Source organism: Homo sapiens, chromosome 2 (genome assembly GCF_000001405.40).
Source record: "Homo sapiens chromosome 2, GRCh38.p14 Primary Assembly".
NCBI lineage: Eukaryota > Metazoa > Chordata > Mammalia > Primates > Hominidae > Homo > Homo sapiens.
In genome coordinates, this window is record NC_000002.12 from 100,855,829 (window position 1) to 100,879,005 (window position 23,177).

Sequence of the window (23,177 nt, forward strand, 5' to 3'; positions counted from 1 at the left end):
TGGCTCTTGACCAACTTTCCCCAAAACTCTTGGAGGAAAAGTGCACAATGCCTAGTACAGAGGGTCTCAGCCCACTCAGCTTGAATGGGGAAGGTTAAGGTAAGGGTTGGAGTCCGTACTGCCTTCTCCCAAGGACTCCTCTGAGAAATAACCCCTCGAAATAACCCCCCTCCCTCCAAACACATTCTACTTATCACATCTTCCAGTAATACATTTTGATTAGAGGGATTGGAGCTAAGAGCCCTACTTAAGCAAAATTAAGGAGCTTTGTCTAAAATTGACATATTGAGAGAAACCCATCCAAAACCAGAACAGAAAAATGGATCCAGCTCTCTCTGGCAATTACAGGTAACTCTCCCTGTGGCATGTAACTGCCCAGTAAAAGTCAGACAAGACCATCCATTAGGATTTAAGTGTCACGTGTTTAATTCTGCTTGCTAATTAGTAGCCTTTCTTTTCCTGAATTAAACGTGTGGTTAATTCTGGTTGAGAACTGTTTCGTTACATGACTATCCACATTCCCGAGCACAGGCTCCCAATGCTGTCTGCTTTCTCACAAGCCCCCGGTCCTTGGTGCAGATCCAGTTAGAGGGGACCTGTGTTACCTGCTGGTTGGGTGTGGAAAAAGTATTCTTTGATAAGCATTTAAATGTTCATTTAGATCTAATTGGAAGTAAATTAGTAAAGACTCAGGGTAAAGAAAAGAAAATATTTTTCATTCAGACTTTGAAATTGATTTTTCAAAATTTGATGTTTATAAAGAAAAGAAGTGGAAATAATGCTCACAGAATTCAAGCCATGCGGCACACTCCGAGTGCATTGCATCTGCTTTAGCAGCTCGGACTTCGGAAGCAATGTAGAGAGAATGTGTGTATGGGCGGGGTGGGGGCGGGGGCGGGGGCATGTGTTTAGCAGAATCATAACCCCTGTGAATCAAAAGGAAGCACCTGTGGTGCCAGGGAAGGACCAAACATGAAAAGAGAGAGGTGTCCACGCTGCTTGCACCCTGACCTTTTCAGATGAGCTATGAGTCATTTAAAAATTTCAGAGCAGGTAGTAAGACAGCACCTGGGTGAGGAAGTAGGGCAGGTGATGGAGAGTGGTAGGGCGTGCATTTCTGCCAGAATTGGGAGTGGCTGGTGCGGCATGGATAGGACAGGCTGTCCAAGCACAAGCTTAAGATGTTGTCATTCCTGGCCGGGCACAGTGGCTTACGCCTATAATCCCAGCACTTTGGGAGGCCGAGGTGGGCGGATCACCTGAGGGCAGGAGTTCGAGACCAGCCTGGTCAATATGGTGAAATCCCATCTCTACTAAAAATACAAAAATTAGCCAGGCGGGCGCCTATAATCCCAGCTACTTGGGAGGCTGAGGCAGGAGAATCACTTGAATCCAGGAGGCGGAGGTTGCAGTGAGCCGAGATCACGCCATTGCACTCCAGCCTGGGCGACAAGAGTGAAACTCCTTCTCAAAAAAAAAAAAAAAAAAAGATGTTATCATTCCCTGAGATCGCCCCTGAGCTTTCATTTGTTGAAAACATTTGCTGAGCCCTTCCATATAGTAGATGGCAGGGACATGGAAATAAAAAGCTCAGTCCTTGCTCTCAAGGAGCTGGCTAATGAGAGAGCAGCCCAGTGGATTGTCAGTCAGTGTGGTGGCTGCCCTCAGATGTGGCCATGGGGCTTCCTGGGTCCATATTTAGGAACAGGCCAGAGCAGGCCACTGCAGTGACTTGGTAACCATTGGATAGGTCACTAGATATGTGTTTCAGGGAGGGTTCTAATCGTGAAAGGCCACTGCCTCCAAGAGTGGGAGCCTGGCCAAGTCTCCGCAAATGGGTGGCGTGAAAACACGCTCCTGTTAACCTGGGCTGCATGACCACAGCAAGTGTTTCTGTGCACCCGGCGTCTGCTACAGGGCAGGCCACAGTTTACTCTTGAACTTCGCTTTCCTTCAGTTCTCACCAAATGACTCTTTGTCCCACTGAAACAACCACATGTGTATATTTTGTGATCTGTAACACTTGGTCTCTCTTATGTCTGCTTCGGAGAGCTCAAGCTGCCTCCTGGCATTGAAGAAGAAGCACATTGCCTTAATTTTGTGTATTTGGCCATTATCAGCTGTAGGCAAGTTGGAAAACTGGTTGTAAAACATCCTTTAGGAATCTGGAAGAAAAAGTCAGTACTCAAGAGAAGGAAATGATGCAGCTCTTTATAAAACATGATTCAGTGTTAACCAGTTTGTTTGCATGATAGTCCTAGACAAAGAGGCCAGGGGTTAAGTCATGGAAAAGAGGTCTCGTTGCCTCTCTTTTGCATCATATCAGGGACTTTGCTGTAATTTCTAGTTCCTTCTCACTGTGAAAGCTACAGGCCATCTGACTCAGCCTCTGTCTTCAGGGATGAGGATGCTATCCATATTTTAAAACCGTGACCAGCAAGACGTAGAGAAAGAAAGTGATTTGCCAGGCTGGTAGGTGGTGATAATGGTTAGACTGGAATTCGAGTCTCTTGCCCTTGTCTCTCCCTTTGTCATCTGCTTTAATGCTTAAAAAACTGCAGAGAAAAACAAACTCCTTCCAGCGTGCACTCTCACTTCTATTAGTTACTTTAATTTCCTCGCTGAGCAGAGAAAGCATTGTCACACTAAAGTTTTTGCTGTGAGGGTCTCTGTTTCCAGTGGTCTCTGTGTTCCCTTTCGTTATGGGGAAGGCTGGCCTGATGTGGTGGGGCTGGAAGAGTTAGGGGTGCTGAGCAAGGAGCAATTCAGAAGGTGGCGGGGAGTTCCCAGGACTGCACATAAAAATTAATTACAGAAAAGAAATACATCATTAACGTCAGATCTCACAATAGGTCCCAGTGTGACTATTATGTGAAATTAATTACTCCCTACTTTATTTTTTTAATCACCTTCTCCGTACTCTGAAAATAGTCCTAATTACTGACATTAGTTGTTTAAGTCATTAAGGGTGATCATGTTACACGTCAGTGTGCACGCCCCGTCCTGTTTATTTGGATTTAAATATAGCAGCCCTTGCCCTCCATAGTGTAATTTTCCTGCTCAATAAGATATTTAGTAAAACTAAGTAAGGTTGCATAATCAACGCCTCAAGAATATAAGTTGTTGGAGTAAAATAATAAAAACACATGCATTTGTCTGGGCACGGTGGCTCACGCCTGTAATCCCAGCACTTTGGGAGGCCAAGGCAGGTGGATCACTTGAGGTCAGGAGTTCAAGACCAGCCTGGCCAACAAGGCGAAACCCTGTATCTACAAAAAATACAAAATTAGCCGGGCATGGTAACATGCGCCTGTGATCCTAGCTCAGGTGGCTGAAAGGCATGAGAATCGCCTGAACCCGAGAGGCGGAGGTTGCAGTGAGCCGAGATCATGCTACTGCGCTCCAGCCTGGGTGACAGAGCGAGACTCCATCTCAAAAAAAATAGCATGCATTTGTGATGGAAAGACCACTGCCTCCAAGAGTGGAAGCCAGGTCAAGTCTCTGTGGTCGAGATCTTTTGTTCAGTCCTTTATTCCAGAAAATATGCTTCAGCCCTGGGAATTGAAAGTGAGGAAAACAAGTCAAACCCAGAGCTCATAGAATAGTGGGATAGATGGGCATTAAATGGATAATCACCTAAATCAGTGTAGAATATCACCTTGTGATGGGGAGTTCGGTCCAGTCTAGGGGACAGGGGTGGCCCTTCGAGGAAGTGGATGGATTTGAACTTAGACCTGAATGGTGGGAAGGGAGTAGGAACCAGTGACGCCAGGGGAGCGAGCAGAGCTTTTCAGGTAGAGGGAACAGCATAGAAGGACACCTTGGGTGGAGAGGATGGGAAATGTTCCTTGAGGGGTGGTTAGAGGTATAGGTGCAGATTACCAAGGCCCTGGTAGTTTTGCCAGAAGTGCAGTGGGAAAGCGGTAAGGGTGGGTGGGTTGGTTGGTTGGTGTTAACTTTTTATTTAGAATCATTTCAAACTTAAGAGAAAAGTTGTAAGAATAGGGCAACTAGCTTCCTTATAGCCTTTGCTAAGAATGTTAACATTTGATCACAGTTGCCTATCATGTTCTGTATTTATATTACTGTTTTTTACTAAACCATTTGAAGGTAAGTTGCAGATATGAGGCTTAAGGACACTTTCCTGTGTATGTATCCATGATTCAGTCATCAAAAGAAGGCAATTAACACTGATACAGTATTTCTTTCTAATGCTTGGTCCCCTTTGGAATTCCACAGATTGTCCCAATAATGTCCTCTACAGATTCAGGATCCAATACAGGATCACACGTTGCATTTCGTTGTCTTCTGGTGTTTAGTTTCTTCCTTCTGGGATGGTTCTCTAAGTCTTCACTTGTTTTTTGTGACCTAGATGTTTTGGAAGATTACAGGTCATTTCCTTCATAGAATGACCCTCAGTTGGGGTTTGTCTTATGTGTTCTAATGATTAGATTCAGATTCTGTACTTCTGGCAGGAATATCAGAGTGATGCAGTGTATCAGACGACCATGCTGTTGATTAGTCCCATGACTGGTGATGTTAACTTTGATCTCTTGATTAAGGCGGTATCTGCCAGGTTTCTCCGCTGAACTATTTTTCCTTTTAATTATTATGTTGTGGGAGATATCCTGAGACTATGTAAATATATTGTTTCTCATCAAGCCTCACCCACTAGTTTTAGTATCCATTGATTTTTCTTGCTTGAAACATTACTATGGTGGTTGCCAAATGGTAAGTTTCTAATTCAATCCTCCCTTCTACGTGTGTTAGTTGGCAGTCTACTTGAAGGAGGAGCTTTCCTTCTCCTCCATCCATTCATTCTTTGTTTATTCTCTATATCAGTATGGGTTTGTAGATTTCTTTTATTTGGTGGATTATAATTACAGTTTGGGTTCTCAGATTGTCCCAGATTTGGCTGGGGAGAGCTCTTTCCAGCTGGCTTCTGACGTGTCCGCATCATTCTTTGAGCTCTTCTGACTTTCCAGGCTCATTCTGTACTTTCCTTCCTCCCCACTGGACTTAGCATGGTTTTTTTTTATTGTTTGTTGTTGTTGTTTGTTTGTTTGTTTTGTTTTGTGTTTTGAGACAGGGTCTTGCTCTTTTGCCCAAGCTGGAGTACAGTGGCTCATTGCAGCCTGGAACTCCAGGGCTCAAGCGATCCTCTCACCTCAGATTCCCTACAGGTACACACCACCACCCCCAGCTAATTTTTTTTTTTTTTGAAGACGAGGTCTCACTTTGTTGCCCAGGCTGGTCTCGAACACCTGGCCTCAAGGGATCCTCCCATCTCAGCCTCCCAAAGCACTGGGATTATAGCTGTGAGCCACCATGCCTGGCCCAGCCTGGCTCTTTTCGAGAAGAGTGAGGCACTGAAGGGTTCCGAGCTGCTCAGTGGCCTGATCTGATTGGCATTTCTAACATATTACTGTGTCTACCCTTGAGGAGCACATTGAAGAGAAGCAGGAGACAAACCGGGGAGAACACTTGGAAAACTTTAGGGTGTAGCTCAGTCTGCTGGCTTGGGCTTGATATTCATAGTGCAGACAGAGAATGGGATGGATTTAAGGTAGATTTTGAAGCTGGAACCGACAGAATTGTGATGGGTGGGATGTCGGGGAGAACAGAGGTGTCCTTTTCTGACAAAAGAAACACAAGGGGAGGAGGGGAGCCGCCTTGGACAGGGAAGATGGAAGGTTCTGATTCGGGCCTGTGCAGCTTGAGAGTTGTTTGTCAGCCAGGCAGTCATGTGAGGGGCAGGTGGGCTCAGGGGTCTGGGACACAGGAAGGAGGCCTGGGCTGGAGATGCATATCTGAGAAGGGTGAGATTTGACCACACACCTGGGGGCCTCTTCTACAGGTATTGAATCAGGCTGTCCTGGGTAGAAGAGTGTGTCCTTCAACTCATATTCTGCCTTGTTTTCCCTTTGCAATGCTTGGCAGATGCTTGGCATTTTCACAACAGATATGAAAGCCTTTGGGCATGTTTTCTGGGTCTGGCTGTTGGTATGTGTATCAAGAAAAAGAAATGTAAACAGATTACCTCTCTGCACCATCCTATGACTACCAACCCGGTGGACTGGGGAAGATGTCAACAGGAATTGTCACTTTTTTTGTATTAAGGGATCTGTGTTAAGAAAAGAATGTGTGTATATGTATGTATACATATGTATGTCTATATGTAGTATTTAAAATCTTTGCTGTCAAAAAATACATTATGTCAAAATTAAAATTGATAAGGGGTAATTAAAAATAGATTGTGGATAAAGAATTTATGATGAGGAAACTATAATCATAGCATTCTCACAACCTATCGGATGGGTAAAAGGAAAAAAAAGAATACATCTCAAAGAAAGCTGTAGTCAGAGCTACTGCTAAGTAGATGCGTAGTTCACAAACACAGTGGTTTTGTTGTCTGATCAGACCTCGGAAGGGGATCTGGCTTCTATGCAGTAGGTTCAATCATTTCTGTAGATACAGATGTTGTTTGTTTTGGCATTTTTGGTAATGTTTACTTGAGGGTTGGTTGGGGTTTTTTTTGCCTCTAAATCAGAAACAGCTGATATTCATCGGGCTGTATTTAACTTCTGCTTTTGTCTGAAAAGCAAAGTTGGAGGGTTTCATTGCCTCGTAGCTTAATTTTTATTTCAAATCAAGGGCTGGTATTAACCATAGCTTGGCAGTGCAGAAGGCTGTGGTCAGGTCTGGAGGTCAGGGCATGGTGATCCAGCGGCTGCCTGACAGTCACTGCCCAGAGCTTCCCTTACCATAACCTTCCTCAGTAGACTAGAAAAGGTTTTCAGGTTTGCCCAGGTTATCCACACGTACCATGGCATAGTTTCTCCAGCAAGTCAGCACACTGCCGTTCCTTTTTCACACCTGAAACACGCATTGGGCCTGGCTTTTGCATATAGTTTGGCTTTAGATTCTATGTGGAAAGGGGCAGACAGTGCTCCACTTCCTGTTGATGAGCTCTTCCTTTTACGGGAGTTGCTCTTGTACGCCTCCCATTTTGTGTCCTCCCCAGACCAGACATGGCAGTGAGGGGGACGTATGTGAGTGACCCTCTTCTTACCCTGCCTTTTGGCAGCATTAATAACAGCTATGTATGGAGCTGTTAGTGAAATGGTGTTGTCGGGTCAGGAAGGAGTAAGCTCTGCCTTGCTATAAGGTCGTGAGGAAGGATGTATCTTCACTTCCGTGTCAAGAGCCTTAGCCCGTGCACAGCAGTGCCACCATGGCAGTCACCTATCCTCTTGGTTAATCTGATGCCTCTGAAAGCCTACTTTGAAACAACAGCCCGACCTTCTCACTGTCTAAAATAAGAGCTAGAGCAGAAGGGGCTAGTCTACCGCTAGTAGCACTTAGCACAATGACCCAAGTGCTGGAGCATCTCACACAGGTGTAGGAGTTGGATGCTCAGCCACACTGGTTCCATTCAAGCAAAAGAGGGCCATGGCTGCTAGACTCTGCTTCCTCTTCCCTGCTTTGATGGTGGGTTGCTTGGTTGATTAGTTGGTTGGTTGGTTTGATGGGAACCCCATGCAGTTACCTATGAGCCCTTTCCTGAGTTGCTATCTGTGTGTTAGAGAAAGAGATCCTGGCAGATAGAAAGATGTGCATATCAGTGGCCACACAGTCCGTGGGCCCACAGATCTGTGCCCCATGTTTGGAGGAGTGGTTGCTTTTTTCAACATCCTAGAGGGATGTGAAGCCCAGCTTGAGCGTCTCATGGGGAATTATATCTAATGGGTCAGAATGGCATGAGAATGACTCTAAATAGCTTTTCTTTCTTTCTTCCTGCTAGTCTAAACACAGGAATGAGAAATAAATGCTAACGAGTTGCATCCTTAAATACAGTTGGACCATTTTCACGCAATGGTGAAGACATGTTTTTTTGTGCAAATATTTTATATCTTTGCCATTTTGACCATTCTTATTTTAGTTTCTTCCATCTGTGAGCTCTAATGTATATATGTATATAATTTATATAGCCCTCCTTGCATTCCACTTTGTAGTGTGAGGATTGCTGCAGATCTCCTTCTCTCTCTCTCATGGACAGTGTCCTCCATCAGTATAAGCTTTTGACCTAAAGCACACCTTAATTTGTCACGCTGCCAAATCCAAGCCAAACACAACTCAGCACTTAGAAATTGTCTGAAATGTGAATGAAAATATTTCTATCATATCGAGACTGGGCTAATTGTGAAAGCATTATGCCGAGATGTCATGAAGATGGGATGTGTAGTGAGCTATCAGTAGCTAGATGCTTGGTGGGAATTTGGTTGACTTACATGATTATGAATTAGCATCCTATTTCTCTGTGAGTTATTCATAATTCAGAGCCCATGTGGGATACCTTTTATCTTTTCGGCTTGTTGATTTGTATGTTGGTTTTGTAGAGGAAGAGTGCTCATCTGAATGTCAGAAAAACATTTTGTGGTTATTGTTTTAGTTGTTTACCAAATTACCTTAAGTTCTAGACTGAGTAGTCCATCAGGATAAAATATTAGTATATTTAAATTGCTCACAAATTTCCCTGATCTCTTCCAAAACTGTGTGATATAATAATATTCGGATATAAATAAAGCCTCTCCCGCATTTAATGGTGCTGGGTTCAGCATTAAGTTTCCATACGATTAGCCAACAACTCCTTGGAATAAAAAGTCCACGAGAACCTTACCTTGGGACACGTGGGAAGTGTCTTCCTTGAAACTCTGGAGCCATTTCTGAGGCACCAAGGAACATGGCATTGAAAAATGGTTGACAAGTCTTTTATATTGCTTGAACATCTACATAACAAAGAAAAAATGGGGCACAACACCCCCTTAGTCTTTAAAGTGACTGTTAAGTATTTCTGGTAAGTGTCAACATTTGTAACCAAGGATTTATGTTGAAAATTTAGAGCAGCAGTTCCCAAACTTGTTGATTTCAGGCTTCTTTTACATTCTTCAGAATTATTGAGAATCCCAAAGAGGTTTTGTTTATGTGGGTTTATCTATGAGTATTTATCACCTTATAAATGAAAACTGAGAACATTTAAAAATGTTTATTAATTCATTTAAAAATAATAAGTGCATTGCATTTTAACACAAAAATAATAACTACGTTTCCCCAAACAGTATAATTTAGTGAGAAGAGTAGCATTGTTTTAATTTTTGCAAATCTCTTCAATGTCCAGCTTCACAGAAGGCAAATATCACGTGCCAGTGTCCTCTGGGAAACTCCACTGTACATTTGTGAGAAAATGAGATTGAGAAAGACAGATAATGTCTTGGCTTTATTATGAAAATAGTTTAGACTTTATGGATCCCCTTAAAATGTCATGAGCTCCCAAGGGGTCACCAGACCACACTTTGAGAACTGCTAATACAGAGTAATTAGTTGAACTGGAATATTCTTGAACATAAGAACCCTGAACTCAACTACGAATCTGTTCTCTGTCCATGAAGTTGGGAGTCCGTGGGAGGAAGCAGGTCGTGCTGCCGCCTGAGCCAGCATGCTCCTTTGGATGCATGTTCAACCTTCCCTCTGTACTGGGAACGTAGCCTGGACTCCTGTCTGCTTGTGTGGAGCTGAGGCCCCACTTACCTGCTATGTGTTCTTAGACTACTGCTGCCTGCACTGTTGACCTTTCGGAAGCTCACAATTCACCTGGTTCCCTGACCGGTGACTGCTGACATAGTCTACTTTGTAGGACACCTTTGCTCAAGTCGGGTAACCTGGCCACACCAATCACCACCATGACTTCTAGTTAAAATAAGAAGGTAAGCTCTTAAACACTCAGAACCCTTGTTGAAAATCCACCTTCTGACCCCATTTCAGAGAAGAATTTGGAAAGGGGGCAATTCCAAGTGCCTGGTGTTACTGACTGGATCTCCAATGCACATGCAGGAAGTCATGCTTCCATTTAACTTGGAAACTCAAGGAGCTCTGTCCAGGAAGGACAACTGCTGACTTTGGGAACAAGGAGACTCCTATTTGGACCATACTCTCTAAGTTCTGGAAGGTCACACCTGAGGCAGTACTATAGATGGAAACCTTGAACTACCTCCCGCTAAAATTGTTACCAGTCCCAAGTGCTTGCCTAGACCCTGGCCCTGATATCTCTTTATTCCTGTCTCTTCACTGATTTTGACGCCAGCCTGGACCCAACCCTCAGCCTGACAGCCCAGGGTGACCCGCCCCTCTTCAGTCAATGTTCATGCTCAGCAATTCCGTTTATGAATGGATGGTTTCTCTGTTGCTCTGGTCCCTGCAGCTGTCTGGCCACACACTCTGCAGGGCCCTAGCTGTGCCATCAGTGAGGCCTGAAAGATTGGAAGTGGAGTGAGCACTGTGGCAGAGGAGTTGAGGGGGTGATGGGGAGAGAACAGTTGATCAGGGCAAAGCATTCTTACTCATCTTCTGCATTTCTCCTTGGATACTCCTGACACAGTTTGTCAAGAGCAGGCGACTCATGAGTCATTTGTTGACTGTGTGATTTTATTCCCCTCCCTGTAAGAAAAATACTAGAGAAGTAGAGCTAAGTTCACTTTTGTTTTATCTACCCTCTTTCTGCTTTTCCCAGCAGGCTTTGCTGCCATGAGCAAGCCCAGATATGTCCATCATGGCATCTTTTTCTTTGTCCAGCAGTCTCAGAGTTAACCTGGCATCAGGAGCACAAAAAAGCAACGCAGATGTTGGGTGCTTTCTTTCCAAAATACCATGTCTGAACCTAAATGTGGGATGATTAGGTCACTCACTTGCCAAGTAGCATATACATCACAAAATATTCAGAATTATTACAGTGCCACAGGGAAAGGCAAAGAACATCTAGTAGTAGTGTAGGATCTTCATTCATTTATTCAACCAATCATTCAGAAGTATTTATCAAATGCTGTTATGCACTAGATGATACATCTGTGAACAAAACAAAGATTCCTGCTCTCATTTTACTGACATTCTATCCAGCAAGTAACAAATCAACATTCTCCAAGATTTGGGGTGAAGTGAATCTTTTATCTAGGTTCTCAATGGTCATTTTAGGAGTTGTAGCTTCTATACTCTTTCTAATTTGCTGTTTATTTGCTCAGTCCAGTGAGTTGTGTGAGCGGGGAAAACAATTCTTGTTCTTTGGGGTGACATTAAGCACACCATTTTAAAGAGAGTCATTTACAGGTTAGTTAATTTATTTTGTAGCCAGTGTAATATTTGGTCACCTGACAAATAGCTGAATTTGAAGTGGATGCTCCAAATCCCCTGTTAGGAGGACTGAAACATAGTCTACTGTGACCTAAAACAGCGTCTTCCTAAATGGTCAATATTTGTTTGTTGCGTGCTTGAAGAGAATGTTTATTCTCCCATTATTGGGTATAATATTCCATATTTGTCCATTAGATCTGTGCTGCTCAATTTTATTTATCCTAATTGTTGTGTTGCCTGATATATCACTTATGAGATATGTCAGAAATTTATGACTATGATAGAGTTGTCAGTTTTTCTTTGAGGTATGGTGCTTTTTGCTTTATATAATTTGAGGCTATATTATTAGGTGCATGTAAGTTTAGGATTATCTTCTCTTCCAAGTAAGTTGAAACTTTTATCTTTGTTTTGTGGCCCTCTCTGATGTCAAAGTTATGCTTATATGCTACTAAGTTATGTTTATTGCCTTAAAGTCTGTCTGACATTAACAGATGTATGGTAGATTCCTTTTGTTAGTATTTACCTGGTATTTGTTTTTTCTCCTTTTACTCTTTAAGTTTTCTGTTTTTAGATTTCAGATGTGTTTCTTGAGAACAATGTTTGCTAGGTTTTAAAACATCCTGTGTGATGACTCTTAAATCTTTTTAACTGGAGAGATTATATGTTTATTATGATTACTAAAGTACTTTTTGTTTTGTTTTGTTTTTGTTTTGTAGACAAGGTGTCACTTTGTTGCTCAGGCCAGTCTCACAAACTCCTGGGCTCAAGTGATCCTCCCTCGTAGGTCTCCCAAAGTGCTGGGACTACAGACATGAGCCACTGTGCTCAGCTGAAGTACTTATTTATTTTTAACTATTTTATATTATAGTTGGTATTTGTCCCATTTTTTTCTGCCTTTTTTTCCCCTTTATTACATTTTTCCTCTACTAATTGGAACTTCTGTTCAAATTAATTAATTAAATTTCAATTTAATTAATGAAAATTTTAAGTTAATTTTTCTCCTCCCAAATATGAAGACCTTAGAATGATTTATTACTTACATGTTACTGTTATCCAGTATTATTTTCTATGAAGCACACTATATTTCCTCACTTTTTTGTCTTGCCTCTCAAAATTCCCATCTGGGACAATTTCCTTTTGCCTCAAGGGCATTATTTAGATTTACTTTAGTGAGATTTTGTTAGTAGCAAACTTTTTTCTTCATCTAAAATATCTCTATTTTATCAATTGTTGAAAGATAGTTTTGCAGGGTATACAAATCTAGGGTGATGGTGATGTTCTCTCAGCACATTGAAGGGATTCTTTTCCTGTTGTCTGGCTTCCATGGTTGCTCTTGAAAGTCCTGCTGCCCATCCAGTTGCTGTTCCTTATTAGATAATCAGTGTTTTCTCTGGCTGCATTTAAGATGATTCCCTTGACTTTGGTAATCTGCAGTGTCATGGTGATTGTCTCCAGGAATAGATACATTTTAAATTATTCTGCTTGGGGTTGTTAGGCTTCCTGAATCTAAGAATTGGTGGTTTTCATAAATTTTGGAAAATTTTCTTTTGAATATTTCCTAGACCCCATTCCCTCGAATATCTCTTGCTAGAACTTGAGTTTTGCATGTGTTAGGTCACTGTCTGTTGATTTTACTCTCCCTTTTATATTTTCTGTCTTTTGTCTCTGCATTCTGCAATCTGGATAATTCCTTCAGATCTGTGTTAAACTTTAGTAATTCTCACTCTACCTGTGTCTCAGCTTCTTTTTAACCAATCTATTGGGGTTTTTAAGAAAAATTAATAAATTCTTATTCCAGAAATTATCTTTTCTTCTTTTCTCAAATTTCAAATTGCTTGGTCTTCATTTTCTAAAAATAATCCCTTCTTCCTTGCTTTATTTTTAAGCCTCATGTTTATATCTTTAAACATATTAAACATACTTATTTTATTTTATTTTTTTGAGATGGAATCTCATTCTGCACCCAGTCTGGAGTGCAGTGGTGTAATCTCAGCTCGCTGCAACCTTCTCCCAGGTTCAAGCGATTCTCGTGCCTCAGCCTCCTGAGTAGCTAGGATTATAGGCATGCACCATCACACCTGGCTAATTTTTGTATTTTTTTTTTTTTGCAGAGACAGGGTTTCACCCTGTTGGCCAGGCTGGTCTCAAACTCCTGACCTCAAGTGATCCACCTGCCTCGGCCTCCCAAAGTTTTGGGATTACAGGCGTGAGCCACCATGCTTGGTCTAAACATGCTTATTTTATAACTGACATATGATCCTCAAGTATTTGAGGTCATTGTGAATCTGATTTTGTTCTTTGTTGTTTCTGCTGGATCCCATCCAGGGTGACCTTTTTCCTTGTACATTTGGTGAAATTTGACCAGGATCCTAATCCTTGGAACTTGATCTGTGAGAATTTTTTGAAGGCTGGGTTAAAGTTACCTCTGCAGAGGATTTGTGTTTGTTCTGCTACACACCTGCAGGCTGTCAACCTGAAACCACTCGAAATGATCTCTTAAGGATTTTCAAACCACGCAGTGGGAATTTGGGCCTGAACCTTGTGTGAAGGTCAGTTTGGGACTAGGACTATTTGGGAGAGGCTAACTTTCTCCTTGGCATTGAAAAAGGCATGTTCCCTTCCTGTCCCTTCCGTGTGGGCGGGTTTATTCCTCATGTCCATTAATACTGAGCACATCCTTCCTTTGAGGTCGAGCTTTACAAGCAAGGGTCTCTTCTTAGGCATACCCCTCCCCTCCAAGGATGGGCTTCATCTCTGGCCTCCTGCCTTATCCACACAATATCAAAAAGGCTTGGGCCGGGGCTCCCCTCCTGTGAGCATGCTAGTTCAACCCTGTTACTCTCAGGACCCCACTTCCTCTCTGTGTTTGGCCCCAGCAGACTCCTGACTTCTTTTTTTTTTTTTTTTTTTTTTGAGATGGAGTCTCGCTCTGTCGCCCAGGCTGGAGTGCAGTGGCACGATCTTGGCTCACTGCAAGCTCTGCCTCCCGGGTTCACGCCATTCTCCTGCCTCAGCCTTCTGAGTAGCTGGGACTACAGGTGTCTGCGACCACGCCAGGCTAATTTTTTGTTTTCAGAGATGGGGTTTCACCGTGTTAGCCAGGATGGTCTCAATCTCCTGACCTGGTGATCCGCCCGCCTTGGCCTCCCAAAGTGCTGGGATTACAGGCGTGAGCCACCGCACCTGGCCCAGACTCCTGACTTTCATATTAGCTCAACAGTTATTCAGAAGTTTCCTATTCTCTTATTCTTTTTAGCTGACTTCAGTAGGAGGCTGTCCAGGGTATACACTGAAACCACATGCAGTTAATAAGTGTTCTGTATTGTTAAGGCCAAGGGGCCCCATCTTTTTTCTTACAGGGACCAACTTCTCTGCTTAGTTCTCACCCCACCCCTCATTTTTTTGAGACAGGGTCTTGCTCTGTTGCCCAGGCTGGAGTGCAGTGGCACGATCTTGGCTCACTGCAACCTCTGCTTCCCAGGCTCAAGTGATCCTCCTACCTCCACCTCCCGAGTAGCTGGGACTATAGATGCCTGCCACCACACCTGGTGAATTTTTGTGTTTTTGTAGAGATGGGGTTTTGCCATGTTGCCCAGGCTGGTCTCAAACTCAACTCAAGCAATCCTCCTGCCTTGGCCTCCCAAAGTACTGGGATTACAGGCGTGAGTCACCACTCCCAGCCTTCTCTGCTTAGTTCCTCTAGCTGAGGGTGATATAGGCAGGTCCCTTCTTCTTCCATGTTGTCTGTAGTTGGGCACACACCCCCAACCAGCACTATGGTGTGAGGGGCTGTGCATGTACCAACAGATATGCTTGTGGCAAGCGCTGATGCTTCAGTCCCATCTAGGTGAAGATTCCTGTGGGGAGTCAATGCTTCCTCTCATCTCTGAATTCAGCTGTGTGCCCTCTAGTGGCACCTTGGACTTTGGACCAGTCAAGTCTTTTATCATTCAGAAGATCAATGACTTTTGTGCTTTCCTGTTAACGCTGTTCTGACAGCCTTCTGCCAGCTAGCCTGGGTGTCCCATCACACTGCCCTGGGCAACCTGTTGCCTTCTCTTCAATGCCATGCTCTAAGGCAGGGGTTGGCCAACCACTGCCTGTGGGCCACATCTCACCCACTCACCCACAGCTTATTTTTGTAAATAAAGTTTTATTGGAACACAGCCACACCCGTTCATATTACCTTTGGCTACTTTCCCACTGTGGTAGCCCATCAAACTGAAAATATTTACCATATCTCACTTTGCAAAGAGTTTTTCAGCCTGGCTTTAAGGTCCTGAGCTAGGATGCTTGCTGCCCACCTCTTCTTCTTCCTTGTTTTTTTTTTTTTTTTTTTTAAAGACAGTCTTACTCTGTCACCCAGGCTGAAGTGCAGTGATGTGATCTCTGCTCACTGCAACCTCTGCCTCCCAGATTCAAGCGATTCTTGCACCCCAGCCTCCTGAGTAGCTGGAATTACAGGCACATGCTGCTGTGCTTGGCTAATTTTTGTATTTTTGGTAGAGACAAGGTTTCTCCGTGTTGGCCAGGTTGGTCTTGAACTCCTGGCCTCAAGTGATCTGCCCGCCTTATCCTCCCAAAGTGCTAGGATTACGGATGTGAGCCACCACGCCTGGCCTGCCTACTTCTCTCTTCTTAACTCTTCCCTAGAGCATCCTGTATCCAGGCCTTCACCTCCTCATTAACCACACTTGTCACCTCTTCAGCTCCAGCGTTGCTCCACTGAACTTTTCCTGCTGTCCTCAGCTTGCTCATGATTTGCCCTTTGAAACACTAGAAATTCATCTCTGCATGCTGAAAGACATTGTAGTAGCTTGCCCTTGGAAACCCTTACTTAATTTAGTTAGACGCTTAAAGTCTCTCCACTCCACATCAGGGACCTCATTCCACTCTTCATGGGTCTTCTGTTGCAGACCCTTTGGGGGAAGGCAGATATCTTGACTCCATCCATTTACACATTCAGTCCAAATACACATTTCAAGCAGCAGATAGTCTTGGGAATGCAACAGCAACAACAAACTTGTAACACAGCAAGTTAAATAGCATTTAATGGCACTAGAGGAGTTCTCCTTTTGAGTCATCAGCTTGAGCAGTGAAGAATTAATTTGTACTGGAAACCATCACCAGCAAGTGTGTTTTGTGTAAGTGTTCACCAATATGCTTTCTGTGGCTGCAAGAGCACAGGCTGTTGATGGCCTTGTGGTCAGAAGTGTGCAACCTGGAATCAGACTGCTTAGTTGGGAATCCTTGCTCTGCACTGACTAACCAGTGGGCATTGGCAAGTCACTCTCACTGTGCCTCAGTTTCCTCATCTGGACAAAGGCAAACATGACAAAATGAGATAATATATTTTAAACTACTTAGAACCATGCCTGCAACCTAGGAAGCCGTCAAATGTAATTCATTATCATAATATATTATTTAATCTTTCTGACTTTGTCTTTCCTGCTGTAAAATGGAAATCATAATAACAAACTTTTATTTTAAGGAGTAACCATGATAGATTTAAAGCACCAAAGCAGGAGACACTGTAGGAGCCAAATACATGGTAGATAGATACCATTTTCTGGGGTTTCATTTATATTTGTTCTCTATCTCCCTTTTCCTACTGAGGCTATTTATAAATTCCTTTTTCAAAGGAAATGGTTTCTAGAAACATCTAGAACCTAGTGGCCATCCTCAGCATGGTGGATCTTTGGTAGCTTCTTACTGCCTCACTCTAGAGCTGAACACTGGATGAGAAGCCCAGAAAAGTTTGGTCTCTTGTCTGCTAACTCTGTTTACCAAGACTCAGCATCCACCTCCAGGAAGTCCTCCCTGATCCCTAACCCCCTACCACCTTGGTGCGTCTGTGGCATCCTGAGATCCTATTTGTCTTCTGGAGCAGAGACTGGTGTCATTCATCTGCATATCTATTGTGACTAACAGACTAAGTTCTAGTAAGTACCAAAGACTTCCTGGTTCAATGAATGAATAAATGAATGCCAGTTAAAATCTATTTGAAAACTGGCCAGGCGCAGTGTCTCATGCCTGTAACCCTAGCACTTTGGGAGGCTGGGGTGGGCAGATCACTTGAGGTCAGAAGTTTGACACCAGCCTGGCCAATATCGTGAAACCTCATCTCTACTAAAATTAAAAAAATTAGCCAGAAATTGCTTGAACCCAGGAGGCGGAGGTTGCAGCGAGCCAAGACTGTGCCACTGCACTCCAGCCTGGGCGACAGAGCGAGACTTCATCTCAAAAAAAAAAAAAAAAAAAAATACATATATATATATATATATATATATATATATATACACACACACACACACACACACACACACACACACATATATACATACACACATATGTGTATATATATATATTTTTTCAAATATATATATATTTGAAAACACACAAGGAAGCTACCTTAAGAAATTTGCAGTATGATTCATTTTCTCAATACAACAATACTGAATCTCACAAGAGCACTATATATTGTATCCCTTTTTTTAACCTATCTCCAAATTTCACAGTTAATGGAAATATGCCCAGAAAGTAACCCCCAAAGTATATGCCAACTCAGCTACATAGATAGTCCTTTAAACCTCTGTATTTTCTCCTTTACATTTTGTTGAAACACCATTTCATTTTCTTATGCTCTCTATAAAAATATTTTGTAACTACGATATTATAAAGTGCTTACTTTCATAGCAATGGAGCGGGGATTCATTTGTGAGTGGATTAGGATTGCAGTTTGAGCAGGGCTGCTGCACAGGTGTAATGGATGCACAAGTAAGCTCCAAAATCCCAACCGCTATCATACCTGAGCATCATACCTGCCCTGTTCCTCCCCATCATAACTGTCTGTAGCTTTAAAGGCTTAAAGACAGAAATGTCTTCCCATTTTGGTCAACCTGAAAAATAAGAGGGGCTTCTAGAAGCCTTTGTTCAGCTGGCAGTTTTATATATAACCAACTCTTTTTTTTGTTTTTTGTTTTTTTTTGAGATGGAGTCTTGCTCTTGTTGCCCAGGCTGGAGTGCAGTGGCGTGATCTCGGCTCACTGCAGCCTTCACCACCTGGGTTCGAGCCTTCTGTGTAGCTGCCTCAGCCTTCTGAGTAGTTGGGACTACAGGTGCATGCCACCACACCTGGCTAATTTTTTTATCTTTAGTAAAGACAGGGTTTTACCATGTTGGCCAGGCTGGTCTCAAACTCATGACCTCAAGCAATCCGCCTGCCTCGGCCTCCCAAAGTATATATAACCAACTCTTAATTGTTGAGCAAGTAGAGGAAAGTAATGGAGTACAACCCACATGATGGAGCAGAACAACGATTGGTCATGTTTGATTTTGCCATATGCGGAGCACCCCACATTGCCTTGTACAAGGTGGAGGCATAGTCTCTGCTTTACCCAAGAAGCTGAGAATTCTCATATAGCAACTACCACTTAAAAAGATAAAAATGGGCTGGGCACGGTGGCTCATGCCTGTAATCCTAGCACTTTGGGAGGCTGAGGAGGACAGATCACTTGAGGTCAGGAGTTCGAGACCAGCCTGACCAGCATGGTGAAACCCTGTCTCTACTAAAAATACAAAAATTAGCCAGGTGTGGTGGCGCACACCTGTAATCCCAGCTACTCAGGAGGCTGGGGCAGGAGAACCACTTGAACCCGGGAGGCGGAGGTTGCAGTGAGCTGAGATCACACCATTGCACTCCAGCCTGGGGGACAGGAGTGAAACTCCATCTCAAAAAAAAAGATAAAAATGAAGTAAACATCAGTTTTCTGCAAGCGTTCTCACAGCCCTGCAAAATGTGGCCAAGGCAGAGAATGCCCAGAACCCGGGGCCGTTTCCTCCAGGCTGTCTCCTATCCTAGAATTCCAGGGGCTCTCATGCCAGGCCCCACACCAAGGACCCAAGGAGACGGATGGGCCCCGGTGACTGTGGTGGGCCTCATGCTGGATCATTTGTCTATTAAGTTTCTATTTATTGAAAATGAATGTGGAATCCAAGACATACAACAGGTTGATATTTTTATCATTTTTAGGATGAAAAGCTTAAGCCCATGTGCTCTATCCATACAATACAGTGGAATATTACTCAGCCTTGAAAAGGAAGGAAATTCTGACGCATGCTACAACATGGATGAACCTTATGGGCGTTATGCTAAGTGACATAAGCCAGTCACAGAAGGACAAATGCTGCATGATTCCACCTACCTGAGTCACTTAGAGTTGTCAGATTCCTAGATACAAAAAGCAGAATGGTGGTTGCCAAACGCTGGGGAAAGCAGGCAATGGGGAGTTAGTGTTTAGTGGGTGCAGTTTCTGTCTGATGGTTGCACAATAGTGCAAATGGACTTAATGCCATTGAACTGTACATTTAAAGACAGTTAAAATGGTAAATTTTTAATTATATGTATTTTACCACAATTTTTAAAAATAAAATTTTTAAAAATTAAAAGCTTACACACACACACACACACACACACACACACACACACACACACACAGCATGTAGGGATCACACAGATGTGAGCATGATGCCCCAGTGTTGGCATGAGACAGTCGCTTTCCTTAGCTGGTTCCTACACAGCGCGGCTCCTGGACGCGCAGCTTGTCGAGGCTTGAAAGGCGCGGGCAGGGCTGCCTCCCCTTAGCTTTGTAGACCGAAGGTCGTTTACTTTGGCATTTTTAACAAAGATTTAAAGTTTCTGGAATTTGCCAGCCTGCTTGGTCCCGAGGCCCAGATTAAGCAGCATGCACTTTTTTCCTTAAACGCAGAACAATGGCAGACGGCATGAAAGCTTTCCCAGGGTTATTTTTCCCTTGAAGTAACAAAAGGGGAGACGGATGAGGAAAAAACACCCACATGGAATCAAATACCGCAGAAAGCAAACTTCAAGCCACGTGATATTAGCACAGAAGGGAAATGGGAGGATGGGTTAAAACCGTGTGAAGTGCTCAGAGTTCTGAAGTGAGGGCTCTTAAGCTATTTTTAGCCTCAAAAATGCTATAAATCCTGTTATCCCATTACACTCCAGTGGATCGAATTATTTGCTTTTCTCTACCTTTACCACTCTAATTTTTTTTTGTTTGAGTAAATGAGAGCAGGCCTTCTCAGAGGCAGCTGACATCAGACAGAGACTTCCTTTGCGGCCTCTCTGGTTCTGTTCCTCTCTTCCCCGTAGCTGGTATTTGTAGTGACACCTGGGAGCCACAGATTTGCTTAGCAACCTTTCTCCAGGGTGAACAGGGTATTCACAACTCCTGAACCAAGGCGTGTGGCTGGTATCATTTTGTGGGGCCAGAACGCATTGCGTGGAGAAATTCAGTGATGACCTGGTCCCCACGCCTGCTGCTCAGGGCCCCATCACCCTCGTGACTGTCAGTGGTGCTGCTTCCCACGTCTCCTAAGAGGGCTTCAGGAGAACGTAGAACGAGGTATCTGTCTCTTCCTTTCGGACCTGGCCTTTCCATTTGGCCATATGTCAGAATTTCCAGCTGCCCTAGGGGCCCAGGAATCTGTATTTTAGTTGCTTTCCAAATAATTCTGCTGCCCAGCTGTATTTGGAGACTATAGCCTTAAATCAGTGATTCCCCGTCAGTGGTGACTCATGAAGAGCTTAGATGTGGGCCTGGTGTGTGGTTGGTGGCAAGGGGAGTCTTTCAGATCCCTTCTGCTTGTTGCTGTTGGTGGCAGGAGCGTGCATGTTATGGTGGCTCAGGCCTAATCCCATCTGTTTGGGCATCTCGCCTGTCTGGAAAACAGGTCCCGGAGCCATGCACACCAAGCTCCTAGGGAAGGCAGAGAGCACTCCCCGACTCTTAACAAAGACATGTGGAGGTGGACGTCTGCCCTTAAGCACTCAGGGTTCAAGAAATGCTGCAAAGAACAAGAGCTGCAGCCACCAGGAGATGCAGGTGACTCCCATGGACCAGAAAAAGGACAGAAACATGACAGAAAACTGGTAGAAGAACCAAAGAGGTTTGGCATTTCACAGGGCACCTGACTCTGGAGCCCACAGTCACCCTCCTCGGGGCCCTCTCCATCAACGTCATGGATCAAGTTCCTCCTGATGACCAAGCCACCAAAGAGAGCTGATGGTTATGTTCAGTTGACTCTGCTGAGGCAGTCAGGGCAGTGTGATCTCCTCCTGGGAATTGCTGTATTTGAAATGATTGAAATAGGCTGGGCGCAGTGGCTTATGCCTGTAATCCCAGCACTTGGGAGGCTGAGGCAGGCGGATCACGAGGTCAGGAGATCAAGACCATCCTGGCTAACACAGTGAAACCCCGCCTCTACTAAAAATACAAAAAAATTAGCCAGGCGTGGTGGCAGGTGCCTGTAGTCCCAGCTACTCTGGAGGCTGAGGCAGAAGAATGGCATGAACCTGGGAGGCGGAGCTTGCAGTGAGCCGAGATCGCGCCACTAGAGTGAGACTCCGTCTCAAAAAAAAAAAAAAAAAAAAAAGAAATGGTTGAAATAAGAGAGCTTTCTGGAAGAGTTGCTTCTAAAGATTGTTTTTCTTTACAGTTGGAGCCATGCAAGCATTGGCCAAGCAGCCTTCAGCCTCCCCTCCCCTCAGGTGGGCTCACAGCCCCAAGGGTTTTCACGGGGGACCTTGTCACTTGAGAGTATCCTGTGAGTGTCATAGCACCCATTTTACACAGCACCATGTGCATTTTCTGATATGTTTTTGCACCCTGTGATTACTGTTCCAACCTTCATTGGTCAATTGAATATGGCGTGACTCATCACCGAAGCAGCTTGGCTTGGCATCCCTCTTAGGGAACCCCATCATTTGGCTCAAGTGCAGCCGTGTCTTCAGCCGGTGCATCCTTTTTATTTCATTTCACATACTGCCTTGTAAGAATGCCAAGGACCTTCTCTTGTACAATACCAGGGACCAAGTAAAATGAAATTATCAAACAGTAAACATGGCTGAAACACTACATAAAAAGTGCTGGAAACTTATAGTCTGGGGCCTGCAGAATTTATCAGTTACGTGTGGTATAGCTAATACCAGAGTGCTGTTCTTTGTAGGCCCCGTGGACCTGCCGTGATTGCAAAAAGTGGTGACGAGTCAGCATTCCCCTATGTCCACGGAAGGTTGTTTGGCAGCAGCTGAGACAAGCAGCCTGTGACAGAAGACAGCCTCCAGGGACCAGGTCAGTGCGTGTGGCCGTGCAAGGAGCAGTGGCCCTGGCTCCAGATGCTAGGGAAAGCTGGGCAGAAGGCAAAAAAATATAGAGGACTGTCCGAGGAGCTCGGGAGGGAGCCAGGAGTGAGGCAAGCAGCATTCCCTGACATTTCTGCCTAAGCAAGGGCTCTGCAGGCCAGGAGGAGACTGTCACCCACAACGGAATGTCCTTCTTTGGAAGCAGCTGAGGACCTGGAAAACCAGCAGTTCCTCTTTCCAGCGTTGGACAAGGACATGAGAAAGACCCACAGCAACAAGCTGGAGAATAGCTCCCTCTGTGACATTGAAGCAAGAAGAAAAGGCATGGAGAGATTTGGCTACTTTGTTTGTTCTTCTAAAGGAACACCTGGTTTTAACCGTCAACTGAAATGGCCGTGTGTGGTACATTAAGTTCAGTAAGAATATACACTTTCAGCTATCTGCTAACAGAATCAAGGTAACTTTGCGGTTTTGTTTCAAAAAAAGTTTTCTAATTTTGGTGGCATTGATTTTGTAGATTCTCACTGATACCCAACTATAAGGGAGAGATGTTTACTTGTTTGAAATTCATCTGAGTCCAAATAATATAACCTGGGTTTTAAACGTTCACCGCTAATTTTTTTAAAGACACTGTAAATTATTTAAAAGAAAATGCCTTCTGGCCAGGCACGGTGGTTCATGCCTGTAATCCCAGCACTTTGGGAGGCTGAGGCGGGTGGATCACTTGAGGTCAGGAGTTCAAGACCAGCCTCGCCAACATGGTGAAACCCCCATCTCTACTAAAAATACAAAAATTAGCCAGGCATGGTGGCATACAATGTAATCTCAG

The 23,177-nt window shown here is 43.9% G+C and overlaps 1 protein-coding gene across 17 annotated transcripts in view; it reads left to right on the plus strand.

Annotated features, from left to right (window-relative positions):
- Nucleotides 1-23,177, plus strand: part of NPAS2 (neuronal PAS domain protein 2) — a 178,107-nt gene that overhangs the window by 37,106 nt on the left and 117,824 nt on the right. The window contains exon 1 of one of the 17 annotated variants that reach the window (XM_047444503.1): nt 21,650-22,805. The exons of the other annotated variants lie outside the window; for them this stretch is intronic. Coding sequence (XP_047300459.1) covers nt 22,738-22,805 — 68 coding nt within the window. The 5' untranslated portion in view covers nt 21,650-22,737. Of the gene's footprint in view, nt 1-21,649; nt 22,806-23,177 lie in introns of those variants that run through there. 17 annotated transcript variants of the gene reach the window in all.